The 12,854-nt window shown below is 37.7% G+C and overlaps 1 protein-coding gene across 3 annotated transcripts, besides 2 other annotated features; it reads left to right on the top strand.

Moving 5' to 3' along the window:
• Positions 42-817: an enhancer, noted in NCBI's record as "H3K27ac hESC enhancer chr11:94705997-94706772 (GRCh37/hg19 assembly coordinates)". NCBI's record gives its function as "activates a minimal SCP1, AML or CMV promoter by ChIP-STARR-seq in naive H9 embryonic stem cells {active_cell/tissue: H9 hESC(naive)}" and the evidence as "EXISTENCE:reporter gene assay evidence [ECO:0000049][PMID:30033119]".
• CWC15 (CWC15 spliceosome associated protein) lies at positions 94-11,030 on the top strand. Of its 3 annotated transcripts, none has more exons than NM_016403.4 (7): positions 94-152; positions 1,457-1,595; positions 2,163-2,275; positions 2,585-2,673; positions 3,554-3,661; positions 7,237-7,355; positions 10,136-11,030. In NM_016403.4, exons 2-7 carry the CDS (start codon positions 1,465-1,467, stop codon positions 10,263-10,265), a joined length of 690 nt encoding a protein of 229 aa, NP_057487.2. In that variant the 5' UTR covers positions 94-152; positions 1,457-1,464; the 3' UTR covers positions 10,266-11,030. The 3 variants fall into 3 exon arrangements, with proteins under 3 accessions (NP_057487.2, NP_001350301.1, NP_001350300.1); NM_001363372.2 differs by having other exon boundaries at positions 94-345; NM_001363371.2 differs by having other exon boundaries at positions 94-377.
• Positions 158-327: an enhancer, noted in NCBI's record as "active region_5406". NCBI's record gives its function as "activates an Ori minimal core promoter by ATAC-STARR-seq in GM12878 lymphoblastoid cells {active_cell/tissue: GM12878}" and the evidence as "EXISTENCE:reporter gene assay evidence [ECO:0000049][PMID:35858748]".
• Positions 11,031-12,854: the final 1,824 nt, after the last annotated feature.

Below are 12,854 nucleotides of genomic sequence, written 5' to 3'. Positions count from 1 at the left end.
CTGCGGATTGGTCGTTGCTTCCGCCCCCGAAGCGCTTGGATTTTGCTTCCGGGTCGTAGGCGCTAGCTCTGGGCGCAGAGGTTTCTGGGAGCCAAGAGTGGTAATGGCGTCTGTATGATCTTCGGAGCCTGCTGCATCGGACCTCGGCCAGTGTGAGCGGCAAGAGGATAGGAGATTATCTTTCTTATCGCGATGGGACGGGAAAGGGCAGTTGGGGTCGGAGTCGGCGGCAGAGTGCAGAGCGCGGGCGGTGGAGGCCCTGGAGCAGCGGGCTAGGGGCGGAACCGAGTGCCTGTCAGGCGCGTCTGGAGCTCTTGGGCCCGCCGAGGAGATCGCAGCGTACAGGCAGCTCGCCTACTGCGTAAAGCGAACCCCAGGTCCTCCCTTCACTACCCTTCGCACCCCTGCAGTGCTGGGCACGGGTGAAGAGGCAGCGAGTTTCTGGTTATAGCCAAAGACTAGCTCACGGGAGGCCGGAGTGATAATTCCGTGGGTGTGTGGGAAGGGGCGGCGCCCCCAGCGCCAGATAACCCTGTTTTCTTCTTTGTATACATGTCTCTACCCTTTTTGAAAGTTGAGAGAATTAGCATCGCCCCCCCCCCAAAAAATCCTCCCAATTCGCCCACCCTCCCCACACACTTGCTTTTCCGACACTAACAGGGTTTTAGTGACTGCATCTGCTGCACAGTATTCTTGTGACTGCTCCAAGCAGAAAGTAACTTGAGGAATGAGTCCCTGATTTTTGGCATCAGAATCCTCTGGGGGTGAGGTTCCTGTTTTTTTTGAACAGGCCTTAAATTATAACCCACAAACGATCTAATTTATAGTATGATGCCTGTTGTAGGAGAAAATTGGCTCAACAAACGGTTGTTTAAGAATTTTTTTCTGTGTAACTGTCATTGAAGTTTAACACACTTTTCTCTGGGACATTTAGTAACTTTGTCAGTGATATTTTTTGTTTGTTTTTAGCTTTTGTTTCTACTAGCCTATTTGCTATTGTGTGAAGTTTAGATAAAATGCAAACCTTACAGAGTCTGGTAGAGTAAGGTTGAGTTGGAAATTTTTAAAACTCAGTCATGGCAGTACTGTATTTTACTAGGGTTTTGACATGTCAAGTGTCATAATTCTTATAATCTATGAGGAATATCTCCATTCCACAGATGACAAAGTTAAGCCAGGTGACTTGCTCAAGCCCATATAGTCAGAAGGAGAATAGGGATGCAAACTCAGATCTTCATGACAGAATTTTTTGTACTAAGGCAAGCCTGAGAAGCCATATTCCTTGTACAGCCTAAGCCTCATAATTTGTTTTCTTGAAAACTTTTGTTTAAGAAGATTAAGCAGGTTTTGGGGAATGAGTTTTAGAACTTATTTTACCAGTATGGATATTGATTAATACTCTATAAAATGAGTGTTTGTAATGTTGGAAATAACTTGATTATATTTTTCTTCAAAGCATAAAAGATGACAACAGCAGCCAGGCCAACCTTTGAACCTGCCAGAGGTGGAAGGGGAAAAGGAGAAGGTGATTTGAGCCAACTTTCAAAGCAGTATTCAAGCAGAGACCTACCCTCTCATACAAAGATAAAATACAGGTAGTAAGACTTTCTTTTTTTATTGTTCACAAAACAAGACCAGATCTGTTAAATGGCATGGTCATGATATAGTAGTATGTTTGAGTTATGTCACTTATCTATTTTCATAGGAATAGAATGCAATAGGATGTTTAACACTAAAATTCTGCTGTGATTTTAAAATGTGAAATTCCTACTAACCAGGAATTTTCATATGTAGATAGAACAATAAATAATAGAAATAATAATGCCTCAGAGTATGCACTATGAGCACCAGTCAGTATATTAAAAGTATTACTGTTAAGTTCTGAGTTGATATAATCCTAATAAAAATTAAAGACATTTTAATCACTGTAAAGCCTTATTATAGGAAAATATGTGATTGAATTTGGACTTCTTGAAATATTGGGAACATCACAAGAGTGGCTGTTAGTAACCTTCAGATTAAATTATGATCTTGTCTACTTCCCTTTTTTCTGCTTGAAGGACAAAGTCTCATTCCTGAATTGTCTTCCATTACTACAGTCTCTGTGTGTGTGTGTGTGTGTGTTTAAGTAACATTTTTGCCCTGGTTTGTTTCTACTTTAGACAGACTACTCAGGATGCCCCTGAAGAGGTTCGTAACCGTGACTTCAGGAGAGAGTTGGAAGAAAGAGAGAGAGCTGCTGCAAGAGAGAAAAATAGGGATCGTCCAACCCGAGGTACCAACACTATCCAAGACATTTGTCTCATAAAATTATGTTGTTGATAGTTTTTCTTTATGTAGCAATTGGAAAATGTTAACCATTTGTTTACTTTTACAGATTGATGTGAGCTGTACTACTTTCTTAGGTCATTAGAGATAATAACAACAAATATTTACCAAAGGCTTATTTGCCCAGGCACTGTGGATGTGAGTTCACTGTGGATAATGCTTTTAATGTGGGCTCCTTGTGCTCACAGGTCCCTAAAACATTTTAAGAAATGAAGTATTTGTTTTACTAAGTTAAATGATTTTTGTTTCCCCCCAGAACATACAACCTCCTCTTCAGTGTCAAAAAAGCCACGGTTAGACCAGATTCCTGCCGCCAACCTTGATGCAGATGACCCTCTAACAGATGTATGTTTTGTTTCCTCCTTTCATCTCTAATAATTGATTTACCATGCTATTCTAAAATACTTGTTATGTCTTTGCTTTAAGAAGTGACATATATTTATGTTTAGTTACTGTTATTCAAATATAGCCCTGACCTCAGTGCTAAACTTTATAGTTGATTTTAAAATCAAAAGTATTATTTTGTGGGACTTTAAGAACAAGTTTGATCTCTAGAGAACCAAATATGGAAGGAATCTATAAAAGGATATGCTTTCCCCCAAAATAATGTCCTGTACTAAACTACTGCACTACTGCTGTGTTACACACCTCTCCAGGGCACTCTTCATACTGGGCTTCCTATAAACAGTGCCCTCTAGAGTTGTACCTGGAGGCCTTTCCATATTAGATATGTCCCCTTCTATAAGTGCAATACACTTAATGGTTCCCTCTGTGCTTAGGGAGGGAAGTAATCTAAGCAGAAGGTTTTTAAGGATTAGCACATCAGTTAATGTTAAAATTCTGTGGGACCCTAGAGCCTATAATCAATTTGCAGTTTTCTACATACAGGACAGTGAAAAACCTGAGTGGCATCCAATGAGTAATATCTAACTATGTATACATATCAGCAGTTAATTCTAGAGTTAATTGATGGAGTTACTCATAATAGTTAAAACAGGAAACCTAATTTCAACTGAAATTTAATGATTATTCATTTGAAATTATTTTCTTCTGAGAATTTAGCACACTTTTTTGCACTTTTGAGTATCTTTGCTGCTAGCTTAAAGTTGTTTTGAGCTACATAAAATTGTTTTGACTTTCTTAGGGTGATACGTTGTACATATGTACTGTGTTTTGGTAGTGTGTATTTTCCCTCCAATCTTCTGGGCTCTCACTGTTCTTTTAGGAGGAAGATGAAGATTTTGAAGAAGAAAGTGATGATGATGATACTGCAGCTCTTCTTGCAGAACTGGAAAAAATTAAAAAAGAAAGAGCTGAAGAGCAGGCCAGGAAGGTAAAACCAAAGTATTAAATATTTACATCTATCTTCTCACATACACTAAGGTAGAAATTTTTTTGAATATAAGTAATATCTTCTTATATTAGAAATCTCCTTTACCGTGTCTAAATATTATAGCACTTGTAGATCTATAAATGATTATTTTTATGACATCCTAGGTATCCTGGTTATGTAAGAAATTCTTTCCAAATAGTTCAGATGCACTGAGTAATATTCACAGGCTTGCTAGTCATTTACTTGTTTATTCATTTGTTCAACATTTAGTCGATATCTGTTAATTGACAGGAGAATCAAAGATGATCAAGATATAGTTGTGGTCTACAAAGATTATCTCTCTGCTTGTCTACTGCCTAGGTACTATTAAGGCAATCAGTCAGTAGATATTATATAACCTAGGTCAAGCTACCTAACTTCTCTGAGCCCCCACAGTCTCTCTGTTTACACAATATGAGGAAAAAATATAAAACTCAAAGATAGTTAAAATTCTGAATAAATTACCCAGAGTGATAATAAGAGGTGAAACTGAGGAGGCAAGTGCAAGTCAGAGCATTAGAGGTTTGCAAAACAATACTGAAGGAGTCTAGATTTTTTCTAAAGGACATGAAGAGCTGGTTGATTTCAGCAGGAGATTGATAAAACTGGATACGCATTTTAGAAAGATTACTCTGGCAAAATATGGAGGATGGATTGGAAAAAAACTGAGTTAGGAGGCTGTTCCAGTAATCCTCCCAATTAAGAGACTCTTAGCTTGTATGATAGGAGTTGGAATTGAGGTAAGTAATTAGATGCTGATAAAGCTGATTATCAAGGAGGTCAAAGTGGGAAGGGGAGCAGGAAAAAATAAAAAAGGAGGTTGAGTTGACAGATAGTGACTGATTGATTGTAGCAGCAGAGAGGACCCTCACTTTCTAGGTAAATGTTGGTGCCATCAATACAGGGAATGCAAAAGAATTGCCATATTTAGGCAGAGAGAAGAGGTAGTTGATGAGTTCTGTTTTGAACATGTTAAATTTGACACATTGTGAGACATTCAGGTAGGGTTGTCTGCCCCTGTTTTCAACCAGAGCAGCACAGCTTTTTCATAGATTTCTGTGTAAAATTTTATTTGAGGCAAGAATTGTTCTGTTTTTAAAAAAGAAAGTAAGAAAATATACTGCATGGTCAATACCAGGAATCTAGGGAAGTAGACTTCATGTGAATCAGGAGGGCCAGGGAAGAATTCAGAAAACAGGTAGAATTTGGGATAGACTTTGAAGACTTAGAATTCAGATTGGAAGAAGAAAAGCATTTCAAAATACAATTCTCATCAAAGTTTTGTATAAGAGAGCATAATTCCTGTAATAGCTTATAGTTTTTACATCTAGTTTTTAAAAGTCAAAGAATTATAAAAACATTCCCAGTCCCACTTGCATACCACTAGAGGGCAATTGTTCCAAATTTTTTTAGCTTGCCTAATAGTTCTGGACACATAGAGATGAGCAATTTAAATGCTTTTGGTTGACCTTGAGGGAGGATAAACATTTTAGACAGAAGGCCTTGCAGTTTTGTGAGTTTCATCTAATATCTGTATTAAAATGTGTTGATATTTCTTGCGGTTGAATGATAGTTTCTTTTATCCCTGTTTCCCTTTCTATTGGCTGGTTTTTGCCATGTTCCAAATTTAAGATTTTCAAACCATTTAGCCCTTGTCAGGGGTCAGCACCCTTTCTGTAAAGGGCCAGGTAGTAAATATTTTAGGCTGGCTGGTCATGGAGCCTCTATCACACCTACTCACCTCCACTGTTATAACATAAAAACACCCACAGAGTACATAAGTGAACAAGTGTGGCAATGTTTCAATAAAATATTTACAAAAACAGTTAGTTAGGATTTGACCTACATGCCATCTGATGACTAGCCTATATTATGAAACATAGTATGCCTGCTGTTTGAATATAGAAAGAGTTTATGCCTTTTTTCCTAGTGCTCTGTGTGGCAATCATTCAGTAACCCCAAAGGAAATAATATTCCAAACATAAAATGTCCATAACCTTTATATGTCATACACATTATAAGTTTGGATATATGGTATACTTAAGCTCCTATTTTTCTAGTATTTCAGAGAAATATCTTTTCCCTTTAAGCATCGGTATAATTTGTTACAAATAAATATATAGCTTTTAGAAAGCCACCTGTTCTGTGATGTATAGTTCCTGATTTAAGTTCTGACCAGTGACATAAAGGAATTTTCCTATTTCCTTACAAGTTAGATCTTTTCACCTCCCATTTTGATTTTTATTTTTCTTCATAAAAATGAAATTCATTGTTTACATTTGAATATTGAAATGAAGTATCAGTAACCTGTATGAAAAATTAGATTATTAAAATAATAACTTTTTTTAAATGACTTCCACACCATCTGTTTTTCCTTGATCTATTAAGTCATCAATTTCTGTTATCCCCAAAACACAGCAAAATGGGATTTATATTTGGCTTAAGATAACATGTTAACAGGTAGATCTAGAAGTGATAGCTAAGGATTTTAGACATTTTATATTCCACATTCTGAGAAGGAAACTCAGGGTGATTTGACTTTGAAGAAGTTGATGCTAAAATAAAAGTGAAGAAAGACAGTGTTGTAACTGATAAAGGATGGGAGGTATAAAAATAGAAACTGAGGCCGGGCACGGTGGCTCACGCCTGTAATCTCAGCACTTTGGGAGGCCGAGGTGAACGGATCACGAGGTCAGGAGTTCGAGACCAGCCTGGCCAACATGGTGAAATGACGTCTCTACTAAAAATACAAAAATTAGCCGGGCATGATGGCACGTGCCAGAGGCTGAGGCAGGAGAATCACTTGAACCTGGGAGGTGGAGGTTGCAGTGAGCTGAGATCATGCCATTGCACTCCAGCCTGGGCAACAGTGAGACTCCGTCTCAAAAAAAAAAAAAAGAAAAACTCAGTAAGACAATAAAAACAAAATAGATCAACCTCAGGTAAATTAGTAGAAATTCATGTTAACTGGATATAATTTTGTATATGGTAGTTTGTCCTATTTTAGGAGTTACTTCTTCATTCATAACTTGTCACCAAACCTAGAGACACAAGTTTACATTATTAGTAATTCAAAATAAGATTAAAATTAATCACAGTTAGGTATGACCCTTTAAAATGAAGGTAATAGTTTTGCTAAATGTGTCTTTTTGATATTCAATATGTTCTTAAATTATTAGAATATGCTTATTGATATATGCTTAAAATTTAAAGCAATTAATTTGACATGTACTTCAAGAAAGAAAATAGATTTAAATATGGATCTGTAGCATTTCACAGTTGGAAGAGACTAATTACTGTATGATATCAACCATGAAATATTTATAATAAAAATGCTAAATTATTTTATTTTGATGAGGGAGACTTTTCTAGTATGCCTCAAAAACCAAAAAAAAAAAAAAAAAGCCTGCCTTGATGCTTTTGTTGCCATAAAATCCTAATGATCAGTTTTGTTTTTTTTTTCAGTGAGCTAATATAAAAAAAATTGAACCCAGAGTTAAAATAAGTAAGTGTTAATCTTCCTTTATCATTGACAGGAACAAGAACAAAAAGCTGAAGAAGAGAGGATTCGTATGGAAAACATTCTGAGCGGAAACCCTCTCCTTAATCTCACTGGCCCATCCCAGCCTCAGGCCAACTTCAAAGTTAAAAGAAGGTACTATACAGTAACGGAGTAATGGAGTGTGTGTGTGTGTGTGTGTGTGTGTGTGTGTGTGTGTGTGTATATGTGTATGTGTATACACACAGGCATGCAGATTATAAGTTGGATAGCAAGGTGCATTGTAAAAAGCTTCTAAAAGTCCACCGTCCATTCACTGATACTCTTCTCTGTTCAATTAGGAATAATGGAAGAAGCCAAATGAAAGAAAATAAACTTATTTTCAATAGATAGTTGCAATAACCAGCTGTGTACTAGATAATGATGTAAGCACTAGGGACAGAGTAATAAACTGAGGCCCTTACATTTTAGGTGTGCATATCAAGGGTCCTCAAGATGGCCTCTCACATTCAGACACTCACTAGAAGAACTCAGGGGACTTGGTGTATAGTTAATATGCTTGGCTAAGGTAATAAAGACACACAGCTAGATTATAAAGGGAAAAGACACACACAGAGAATAGAGGAATCCATGTGCAGGTGTCACTATGCTCTGTCCCTTCCATGAGTGGTCACACAGCACATTGTTTCCCCCAGCAAGGACAGTGCAGCAACGTGTGCAGTGCTTCTGCCCAGGGAAGCCCATTAAAGATCCCGCGCCCAAGGTTTTTACTGGGAGTGGCTAGTCATGTACGCAGCTTTTGCTTAGCACATACCAAAGTCCAGACTCCTAAAAGGATAGTAGGTGTTCAGTGTAAACCACATTATTTGTAAATTATAGGCACAGTGACAGAAGATTTCTTAGATCCAAATTTTCAAATGCCAGCCAGGGGCCAGCCTTGCAAGCAGGCATTTCTAAGGATTGTAGTACTAGGCCTGCTTTTTAAATTCTGTACAGTGTGTGTGTGTTTGGAGGGGTAAAAAAGGAGGGCTGAAAAGGGAGAAAATATAAGTTGTAAATACTGTAAATCCTTCAGATGGTGATATATAAAATAAAACAGAAAAGCTTACAGGAAATGCTGAGGGAGGAAGATTGGTTGTTATTTTATATGCATTCGTCAAGGAACCACAGTGCTTAATTTTTAAACCATATTCGTTATTTTTCACCACCTCTACTGCTGTTATCTGCCATCTGGAGTGATGCAGTACTGCTGACTGCTTTCCCTTCTGGAGTGATGCAGTACTGCTACCTGCCCTCCTCTCTGGAGTGATGCAGTACTGCTGAATGCTTTCCCCTCTGGAGTGATGCATTACTGCTACCTGCCCTCCCCTTTGGAGTGATGTAGTACTGCTGACCGCTTTCCCCTCTGGAGTGATGCAGTACTGCTGACTGCTCTCCCCTCTGGAGTGATGCAGTACTCCTGATACAGTTCGGGAATTAGTCCAAGCTGGAGATAGTAGATTTGGAAGTTATCAGCTCAGATAAACTTTTTAAAGCCATAAGACAGGATGAAGTCACCTAGGGAAGGGTATAGCTAGAGAGGAGAAGTCAGAACTGAGCTTGGTATGTTTAGAGGTTAGGTAGATTATTAGTTACCAGTACCTGTTCTAATCATCTAGCCAGCCTCTAAACATTATACAAGTGCCTGATAAATATTGATTGAGTTAATTTTGAATGAAAAAGTCTAGGCTAACAAGGAGCAGCCAGTTGGGAAGGGAGGAGAACTGAAAGAAGTGAAACAAAGTGTTTCAGGAGGAGAGGAGTGATCATCGAGGACAAATACTAATGTCAGGAAAGAGCATTTTGGTGTTGGGAAGGAGGGACAAAAAGCCTGTTTGGAGTTGAGGAAAGACTGGATACAGAAAAAACTGTACTGATTATATACAAAAATAAAGCTATATAGTTTGTTCTTTTGCCTTTTTTGAATGTAAATGGAATTGGAGATAGAAACATGTCTTATATCCCAGTCATATTGATCTGCTCAGCTTGTTATGCTTCTGTGTACTGCATCAGTGATGACTTTACTGCACTGTTTTCCAAAGGTGCCCACGTTTGTTGCTCATTGTGCACTTTCCCACATTTGTTCCCATGTGCAGTTTCTCCTGACGTGTAAGCGCATGCACACATAAACACACACATATGGGCTTGTGTTATATATATATTTGTGAGGGTATCAATATTATGTATATGGGCCTGTGTTTTATATGCTAGGTGATATTCTGAAATCATGCTCTTTATTTTCTATAACACATGTATTTTATAACTTATTTATGGGTGTTTTTTTTTCGTGCTTATACATTATGGAATCCAACCAGAGTTCTGCTCTGAGCTCTTCAGCTGGTACTTCTCCTTGGTTAATGTATATGTGGGCCATATCTGAGCCTTAATTATTATACCCCAATGATTCCTTCTCCTTTTGTTGGCCTATAATGTGGATATTACAGTAGATGATTACTAAACATTAACTGATAAAAGAGGAATATCTACAATCCCCAAAACCACATAAACTACATTAAATTGATTGGCTACTATCATGTACAGATGCCTACACTAATATTAGGGTAGTCCTCGGTGCTGCTTCTTTCTATTAGACCTAAAAACATTAAATATTTATGCAATTAAAATCTATATATTTCTATTTTTTAACTCAAAAGTTTCTTTTACTGGAGAAATAATAAGAATGTTTTAATGTTCTAAGTAGGAATTGCCATTCTTGCTATAAGAAAGCAAGATTATATATTAAGGATGACATTATTCTTTTGAGTGTAATTGCTGCATCAGATGATACACATGTTGAGCATCTTTCTGTGTAACTGACTAAGCCTTGCAGTGCATGTAGTATTCTTGTCTCCTGATACAAACATTTTCAGACGTTCTGTTTGCTTTTTTTTCCTCAGGTGGGATGATGACGTTGTCTTCAAGAACTGTGCAAAAGGTGTAGATGACCAGAAGAAAGACAAAAGATTTGTAAATGACACACTGCGATCTGAATTTCACAAAAAGTTCATGGAGAAATATATTAAATAGTACAGTTTTATGTGCTTAATTAAAGACTGTAAAACGTAAAGGATCATTCTGACTTTTTTTATGAGTTTTTTTTTTCTTTTCCCCTGTCTAAATTGTGTGTGGGCTTCCCCAGTTTTAAACTCCTATCTTTTTCTTTAGTGATACCTTACTTGATAATGGACTTGGGAATAGGTTTAACCCAGTTTGCATTCTCCAAATGTTTCCAGTGATATGTTTTCCTGGGAAAAGCAAATCTGCCTGTAATAAATATTTTTAATCTAAATAACCAAATCTGGGTGCCCAACTTTTTGTTGGAATTTATGCTGCTAGTAATACATTCCATAATATCTTTTGAAAAGAAAAATTACCATTGTGTATTGTGCTTGTGCATTAACTTGTCCTTTTCCCCCTGTTTCTCTCACATTTAAGATGAGTTAATTCATATTTTCTCTGCATTTTTTAAAAGAGTGTAATGGAAGATGAGAGGGATTCTATTTTGGACCACATGTTGGTGTGGAGGAGTGTCATTGACAGTAAGCACCCCAGGCGTGTGTCTGGGAGAGCATTGGGTATCGCTCACTTCTGCAGGTACTTGTTTTTTTTTCTCATGGCCGAAGAGGAGAGCTCTGTAAGCATTCTTTTAAAGTATACGGTACTCACTTGTGTTCTGGATACTCAACTGCCATGTTTCCTTTGAAAGAGATTGAATATGCACCTGACATGCATTTAGTGCAAAGCCTGAGAAAGCTTCAAACAATATATAAAATAAAACCTTTGGAAATAACAGTTTTGTTATCTTGGAGGATGTATCTATGCGAAGTGAGAGGAAGACTAGGCTATACTAAAAGCAGTAGTTCTGGAAAATGAAGTTTTTGTGAACCTAGGCTGTGATTTAAGAAGGCCACTTTTGATAGAAAATTTGAGACCAGAAATTGAGCCTTTTATAGATAGAGACTCATTCATAGGCTTCCTCAGCCATGAAAAATACTGAGGTTCCTAAGGTTAAAGATAGAAGTTTTAAAGCAAAATAATATGTTACTATTTAAGTCCTTTAATACCTCATTTCCTAATTAAATGGGAAGTTCCATTTTCCCAGTGGAAGCCTGGACATTGGTTATAACTATCCTGAGTCCGGTGGAGAGCTGGAAATGGAGCCCAGGTCTGGATTCCACATTTATATTCTACATTTTTTCAAACTGAGCTCCTAAACAAAATTTTGGATACTTCAGCTAGTGTTTTTAAGAAGCTTTTAATATTAAAACCTTTTTATCTCCAACTTTACAACTTAGAAAATGAATTTACACATGGTAAAACCCTGTCTCTACTAAAAATACAAGAATTAGCCAGGTGTGGTGGCAGGCGCCTATAATCCCAGCTCCTTGGGAGGCTAAGGCAGGAGAATTGCTTGAACCCAGGAGGCGGAGGTTGCAGTGAGCTAAGATTGTGCCATTGCACTCCAGCCTGGACGACAAGAGTGAAACTCCATCTCAAAAATAATAAAAATTTAAAAAAGAAAATGAATTTACATTCATTTTTGGTTATCTTCATAGCAACCTTAGGTAGGAAGTGCTGTGTTATTCAAAGTTGAGGAAAATGAAGCTCAAGCCAAGTAACTTGTTTAGGATTAATACATGATGGATCATGTATGAGCACCTTACAATTACATAAAAATATGCTTATAGATGTAATGGGCATTATCAGACTTCTAAAACTGTGGTTCTTGGAATTGTACTTTTTAGCATCTCAAGGGCCAGGGGTCTGACTTAGGTGCACTATTTCTCCAGGGTCCACTTGTTTCAGATTCCCTCTTTGAGCCTGAAAGGTTTAGGAAGAATCAGAGTAAAGCTGATTTCATTGATTTCTTTCTTCCTTTCCCTGTGGTTTCTCAATGTAAAACATCCTATAACCTGAGTCAGACCCAGGAGATACATAAATGTGTTGTTAGCTTTCAGATTTACAGCGCAAGTAACAACATACTTAGCTAAATTGCCTTGCACCCTCCTTGTAAAATACCTCTTGTTGGAGTGGTTGTGGAATCTGTCTTATCCCTTCAAAAGCTGATGCTGATTGGAAAGAGAGGTCTTTGAAACCAGGAGGACATGGTGTGAAGCCATCTGTGCCACTTCAAGCTTTATTCAAACTAACATTTATTGGCCAGGTGTGGTGGCTCACGTCTGTAATCCCAGCACTTTGGGAGATCAAGGCCGGCAGATCACTTGAGGTCAGGAGTTAAAGACCAGCCTGGCCAACATGGCAAAACCCCATCTTTACTAAAAATACAAAAAAAATTAGCCAGGCGTGGTGACTGGTGCCTGTAATCCCAGCTACTGAGGCTGAGGCAAGAGAATTGCTTGAACACAGGAGGCGGAGGTTGTAGTGAGCCGAGATGGTGCCACTGCACTCCAGCCTGCATGACAGAGTGAGACTCCGTCTCAAAAAAAAAAAAATTTTAAAAAAAAAAGAACTAAGATTTATTGAATGTTCACCAGCTGCATTTGTACTTTACTCATCTAATTGACACCACTCCCTATTAGGTAGCTGATATTATTTTCCCCATTTTATAGATAAGGAAACTGTCATTTGTAAGAAGTTTAAAAACAAGCAAAGTCA

Source organism: Homo sapiens, chromosome 11 (assembly GCF_000001405.40).
Source record: "Homo sapiens chromosome 11, GRCh38.p14 Primary Assembly".
NCBI classification, from domain to species: Eukaryota; Metazoa; Chordata; class Mammalia; order Primates; family Hominidae; genus Homo; species Homo sapiens.
Note: the sequence above shows the minus strand (reverse complement) of the source record. Positions and strands in the feature narration are given on the sequence as shown.

Coding starts and splice junctions, on each gene's coding strand:
- CWC15 (NM_016403.4), top strand. CDS start 1,465: ATGACAACAGCAGCCAGGCCAACCTTTGAACCTGCCAGAGGTGGAAGG. Junction 2,276..2,584: donor TAGGGATCGTCCAACCCGAG/GTACCAACACTA, acceptor GTTTCCCCCCAG/AACATACAACCTCCTCTTCA. Junction 2,674..3,553: donor CAGATGACCCTCTAACAGAT/GTATGTTTTGTT, acceptor CTGTTCTTTTAG/GAGGAAGATGAAGATTTTGA.